Source organism: Homo sapiens, chromosome X (genome assembly GCF_000001405.40).
Source record: "Homo sapiens chromosome X, GRCh38.p14 Primary Assembly".
In the NCBI taxonomy this organism is placed as follows: Eukaryota; Metazoa; Chordata; class Mammalia; order Primates; family Hominidae; genus Homo; species Homo sapiens.
Genome location: NC_000023.11, coordinates 53,712,203 through 53,718,202, shown reverse-complemented (window position 1 = coordinate 53,718,202; position 6,000 = coordinate 53,712,203). Strand labels below are relative to the sequence as shown.

Below are 6,000 nucleotides of genomic sequence, written 5' to 3'. Positions count from 1 at the left end.
CATATTGAGAATCTCTTCTGAGACTGTCCTAACCTAATGTTTCTCAAACTAGGGTCCATGGTCTTCTGGGGATCCAAAAATGTATTCTCAGCTGTTCATAAATTCTTCAAATACATTTTAATTTTGTATTTTTCTTTTGATAATAATCTAAATACAACAATTATAAGCATGTTCTAGATTTGGATGACTGCCTTATAATTAAGTCCAGCCATATAGTTTTAGTACCCACATTGTCATTGGTTTTTTATTTTTGGAGATGGAGTCTCACTCTGTCTCCCAGGCTGGAATGCAGTGTGGGATCTTGGCTCACTGCAATCTCTGCCTCCCATGTTCAAGCAATTCTCATGCCTCTGCCTCCCGAGTAGCTGGGATTACAGGTGCCTGCCACCACATCGGGCTAATTTTTGTGTTTTTGGTAGAGACAGGGTTTCACCACGTTGGCCAGGCTGGTCTCAAACTCTTGACCTCAGGTGATCTGCCTGCCTCAGCCTCCCAAAGTGCTGGGATTACAGGTGTGAGCCACCGCACTCAGCCTGCCATTGCTTTTTATAATAAGGTTGGTATCACAGCCTAGTATTTCAGTTTGCAAGGGTGTAACAATGTCTATGCCCCCTATCCCTAGCTGGTGATGTACTAAATGTCCCAGTCCATGTCACAAAGTGTAGACATAGGAGCTCCTCTCTGACACCAGTAGATGTCCAGGGTGATCTAAAAGCACTCCTTCAAGTGCTGTGGCTAAAAGTTCTCACACGTTGGCTAGATGACTGTGGTACAAGGTCTCAAAGCACAGACAGCATATTGTTTCCATTTATGTGACAAGAGGGTAGTGATAAGGTGAGGTCCTAGAGTGCAGCAAGGACAACAGTTCTCTCATGTATTCACAGAGGCGTGGGTAGCAAGATCTTGAAGCACAAGTAACATAATGTTTCTATTCATGGGATGGATGCCCTTGAGACTCAGCTCCTGGCCATGGGTGTAAGTTTGGTTCTGTGGTCCAAATCAGTGTTTCTCATGGTACTACTCCTTCTGGTCCATTAGCCTGGCCCTTCTCAAGCCACTGACCAGCTACATTACTACACCCAGTGGCTGGTCTTCATTACCTTGAAGGACCAGTAAATGTTTCATTTTGTTCAGGATCTCGGCCTACTCCCAGGGACTCCTTGCCACAAGGTATTTGCCAAAATTTGAGCTTTCATAACCTGCTGCTACACTATGTTCTCAGTAAAAATCTTTGTGCCTACACACACACACACACACACACACACACACAATTCACTCTCCATCCCACGACCCTTTCCCAGATAAAATGGGATGGGTCATTTTCTAGAATTAGTACAAAAATTCCTACATGGTGGTTTCAGAGCTGACTGAATCATCAATCAAATGGCATCATCAAAGGCACAGGGGCTTTCATTCTTTTTTCTCTGCCTTCCTCTGCTGACAGCAGATGTTGCTTCCTGGTTGCAAGGTGGCTGTAGCAGTGCCAGCATTGCATGCAGACCACATCCTGTCAAGAAGAGGGGAGTTTCCTCCCATAAATCTCTTTTTATTACAAGGAAACCCTTTCCCAAAAGTCCCCAGAGACTTCCCCTCAGGTCCCAGGACTATGTCACATACCCATACCTAACCCAATCACTGTCAAGGAGCATGAGTCCATCAATTACTGGCATTGACCATTCAAGATTCCACCATCACCGCAACACAAGGCAAGGGTAGAGTCCTTTCCCTAAGCACATGACCACAACAGGACCAAGCCAACAAGGAAGAAGGGGGAGAAATGGATTTGGGCAGCCAGACAGCACTGTCTGCTTTACCCGCCTACCTCCATGTATGAATTGTTTGGTTCAAAGGGTGCTGCACAGGATTCCTCAGGGCTACACGTGAGTAGGCAGCTTGATAGGTGGCTGTCGCCCTCTTCTTACTTGAATTCACTACCCAACTCCCTCACTTTCTCATGGTTTAGATGAAGTTTTCCTCAATTTCATACAAAGCTGTATCCCTCAAGGGATTTGTTCTTGCCTTCTGTTCTGAGTGGGTAGAGGTGGGGAGGGGTTGTTCTCTGTCTACCCTGGAGTATGTGGGGATAATTTTTCTAACCAATTATTTTATAAGCAAGAAGTTATTTTGGTAGATCACTTTATCTGGATTAGCCCCACTTTGTGTCTACACCTTGTACACAGCAGAAAGGCCCAAGTTTCCTTACCACATGCTAGGAAATAGGTAGCTAGTGATGGCTCTCCAGGCAGCCCCAAGTTTTACGGCAGCACTCAGTCTCCTTAGCCTGCTGTTACCCTTGCTTTTGTTTTTTCTTATTCATAGTGAGCAGCAGTAATGGCTAAGTGGTAGGACCAAGGGTGGCTGAACACTGAGTGAAGTTTCCTGTAGTCTTGCCACCCTCACCCATTTCAAATCAGAGATCAGTGGGCAGCCAAGTGTAATATCCAAACACCTAGATGCAGCAGCAAAACCTATGGCACTAATTCATCCTTGTGGCATTTCAGGTATGTACCAAGAATGCCTCATATTTGTTCCACTGCTGTTTCTGACCAGATCTGAGCATCCCAAATATGTTTAATAAAAGTCAGTTAAATCCCTCTGGTTGTGGGTCTCTTCAGGGATGGTGAGACTCAATTTTGTGCTTCTGTACTCTCGCTGATCCAAGTACTGTTGTCAGCAAATGTGAATCTAGGTAAGAGTTGATAGACTAAGAATGTTAGAGCAGAAGTTCCCTAGAATTGTTATATCTACACTTCTTATCTTTGGAACTAAATGACTGCAACTAGAAACGATATTGTGGTGCCTGACTTTGTCCCCAGTTATGTTTAGGTGCAGCCCATCGAGTGATCAAAGGCAATGGCTTGCTGAGAAAAGTACAAGTCACTCTAAAAATCTCTCTCCCCACCCACCACTACCACCCACTCACCCCCAGACCACCCAAGTCAGGATGCCAGGCTCTCTAGACAAGGAAGTTGTATTCTCAGGACAACACCGATTGCTTTCTCTGAGTTGTACCAGGCACTGAAGCTCCTGGTACAGCTCCCCTCTCCTTTAGTCAGTTCTAATTTCCTCCAATCTTGCAGCAAAATATTAAGGCTCTGGAGGGAAACAGAGCTCTTGTTTCTTTCTTTGATCAGTTTCCTCAGCTCAGGGTCAGCCTACTCTGCCCCCAAATGAGGTAGCAATGACTAACTTAGTGCCACGTGACACCAAGCAGCCTCCAACTGTCAGCCTGTGCTGGGTCATTTGCTATTCTTTTTGGGTGTACATTTGAACCCACTTCCTCTGGTTGGGGACTTCCCCATCTTATGATTCTTGGAAGGAGGCAGATCCTACCTCCCTCTACATTCACTCTCCCTCACAGCTAGGGGGCTGGCACATACCCCAGCCCAGTCACTCTCAACTTTGCCTTAGGAGTTAAAGACAAAGATTCAAGGACCCTGGAAGAGTCTCTCTGTCAAGGCAGTGCTGGCATCTGCAGCAAGATAGAGCTCCCTGCAGGGTGTCCCTGGTGAAAACTGCAGACAAGTGCTCTGAGGTGCTGCTGCAGTGGGCTCCTCACCAGACCAGTTCTGCAGCGTGGTTTGAGTGTTGTTCCTGGCTGCAAACCTGCTTCTCCAGCCCGCCTACTGATTCTGGAAGCTGCCCAAATATCCTTTTAATGAATTCCTTTTCTGCCTAAATCATCTAGAGTCCAATTCTGTTGCTTGCAATCAAGGTTCTAGACTGATACGCACCTGTAACTCCTTCAGGAATTTGTCCTACTTCTGAGAAGTCCCAAAGGGCTTTGTCCCCAAGGACAGTTTCTATGACAAATCTACAAAGGGGATTCTCTGTAAATGCCCATTCTGTTATGAATACTAAAATTAGAGACCGTAAGGCTAGCCACCATTGTTCCATAGTATCTAGTTTAGTACCAGCGAGCACATATGTTCTAAGCAATGCTGGAAAGCCCCTTTCAAATAACTTTTGCCTTGGCAAAAGACGTTGTAATGCTTCTTGAAATAGTTTCATGATGTCATTTACGTAGTAGACCTGATTTCTGCGAACACATTATTTTGAAATGAGGATTTAAATTGTGCTTTGGCAGGAACTGAATATTCAAATGTAATGAGTTTAATTGATTATGAGAATGTTTCTTTTAAGATGATGCAATAACTGCCTGGTATTGAGCCTGCTGCTCCAGTGTGCACTAGTAGAAAGGCTTTCAAAATTGATCTTGGTACATTTGAAATCTGGTAAGCAATTGATTCTCTCTCTAAGCCTCAGTATAGAATCTAGTTCTAAGTGATAAGGCACTAACAATGCCCTGAAACCAGACCAAAATGGGTCTGCCTCTTGCTAGAGCTTTGAATTCCAGCCATGGGAGTATGACTGGGGAGAGATTCAACCTGTGGGGCCATCTCCTCCTCTCATGACTGCGTGGACCCACTTTCCCCATTTGTCTCTACCTGCTGTGCCCACTTCGGGAGGGCCAAAAGTGTGCTGTATTCGAGGCTGTACCAAAGATGTTACCAGAGCTGCTGAGCATCTGAGACTTAGCGGGTATAGAGGGTGTCTGCAGGCCAAAAATATATGTGCTGGCAAAGGAATCTTGGAGGGGCAAGAAACTGATCTATATCTTGATTGTGGTGGTGGTTATGACTCTAGGCATCTGTTTAAACTCATAGACCTGTACACTAATATGAGCAAATTTTACTGTATGCAAATTAAATATAAACCAGGCATGTCGATTTGCACGTGTAATCTCAGGTACTCGGGAGGCTGAAGTGGAAGGATTGCTTGGGGCCAGGAGTGCAAGAGCAGCCTGGGCCGCATAGCAAGACTGCCTCTAAAAAAAATTAATTAGGCCGGGCGCGGTGGCTCAAGCCTGTAATCCCAGCACTTTGGGAGGTCGAGGCCGGTGGATCATGAGGTCAGGAGACGGAGACCATCCTAGTTAACACGGTGAAACCCCGTCTCTACTAAAAATACAAAAAATTAGCTGGGCATGGTGGCAGGCTCCTGTAATCCCAGCTACTCGGGAGGCTGAGGCAGGAGAATGGCGTGAACCCAGGAGGCGGACCATGCAGTGAGCCGAGATCGCGCCACTGCACCCCAGCCTGGGCGACAGAGCGAGACTCCGCCTCAAAAAAAAATTAATTAATTAAACATAAATTTTAAAACAAGAATATGTGTGCTGGAATATCCACTTTCCACATGTGAATTGCCGTACAGTGGCACAGTGTGCAGGCACATGACCACAGTGTCTCCAATCTAATCTGGAAGCATTATGTGGCTCAGTTCACACTTCAATACCCAGCTCAATTATATAATTCTTTTTTTTTTTTTTAAGACAGCGTCTCACTCTGTCACCCAGTCTGGAGTAGAGTGGTGCCATTAAAGCTCACTGCAGCCTCAAACTCCTGGGCTCAAATGATCCTCCTGACTCAATCTCCTGAGTAGTTGGGACTTTGGGTGCATGCCACTGAGCCCAGCTAATTTTTAAAACCTTTTGTAGAGACAAGGTCTCACTTTTTTGCCCAGGCTGGTCTCAAACTCTTGGGCTCAAGTGATCCTCCCGCCTCAACATCCTAAAGTGCTGGATTTGCAGGCATCAGCCACCATGCCCAGCCTCAATTATGTAATTTTTTTTTAATAGAGACAAGGTCTCCCTATGTTGCCTAGGCTGGTCTTGAACTTCTGGGCTTAAGGGATCCTCCCTCCTCAGCCTCCCAAAGTGTTGGGATTACAGTCATGAGCTACCGTGCCTGGCCCCAATTATGTAATTCAAAAATTTGTGAGTGACTGCCCACTTTAGGGCAGAGAATTAACATGTGTGAGGAAGGTACGGGGCTTGGTTTTCTTGTGGGCTCCTACTGAAGGCCAAGAGAATCTGCTCCTGGCTGGGCTCGGTGGCTCATGCTTGTAATCCCGGCACTTTGGGAGACCAAAGCAGGAAGATCACTTGAGCTCTGGAGTTCAAGACTAGCCTGGGGAACATGGTGAGACCCCCCCATCTCC

General features: G+C 46.0%; 4 annotated features.

The window, feature by feature from the left end:
- Positions 1,198 to 2,397: an enhancer, noted in NCBI's record as "MED14-independent group 3 enhancer chrX:53742749-53743948 (GRCh37/hg19 assembly coordinates)". NCBI's record gives its function as "activates an origin of replication core promoter dependent on BRD2, BRD4, P300/CBP and CDK7 cofactors, and independent of MED14, by STARR-seq in HCT116 cells {active_cell/tissue: HCT116}" and the evidence as "EXISTENCE:reporter gene assay evidence [ECO:0000049][PMID:35650434]".
- Positions 3,175 to 3,404: an enhancer, noted in NCBI's record as "active region_29666". NCBI's record gives its function as "activates an Ori minimal core promoter by ATAC-STARR-seq in GM12878 lymphoblastoid cells {active_cell/tissue: GM12878}" and the evidence as "EXISTENCE:reporter gene assay evidence [ECO:0000049][PMID:35858748]".
- Positions 3,445 to 3,494: an enhancer, noted in NCBI's record as "active region_29665". NCBI's record gives its function as "activates an Ori minimal core promoter by ATAC-STARR-seq in GM12878 lymphoblastoid cells {active_cell/tissue: GM12878}" and the evidence as "EXISTENCE:reporter gene assay evidence [ECO:0000049][PMID:35858748]".
- Positions 5,420 to 5,919: an enhancer, noted in NCBI's record as "H3K27ac hESC enhancer chrX:53739227-53739726 (GRCh37/hg19 assembly coordinates)". NCBI's record gives its function as "activates a minimal SCP1, AML or CMV promoter by ChIP-STARR-seq in primed H9 embryonic stem cells {active_cell/tissue: H9 hESC(primed)}" and the evidence as "EXISTENCE:reporter gene assay evidence [ECO:0000049][PMID:30033119]".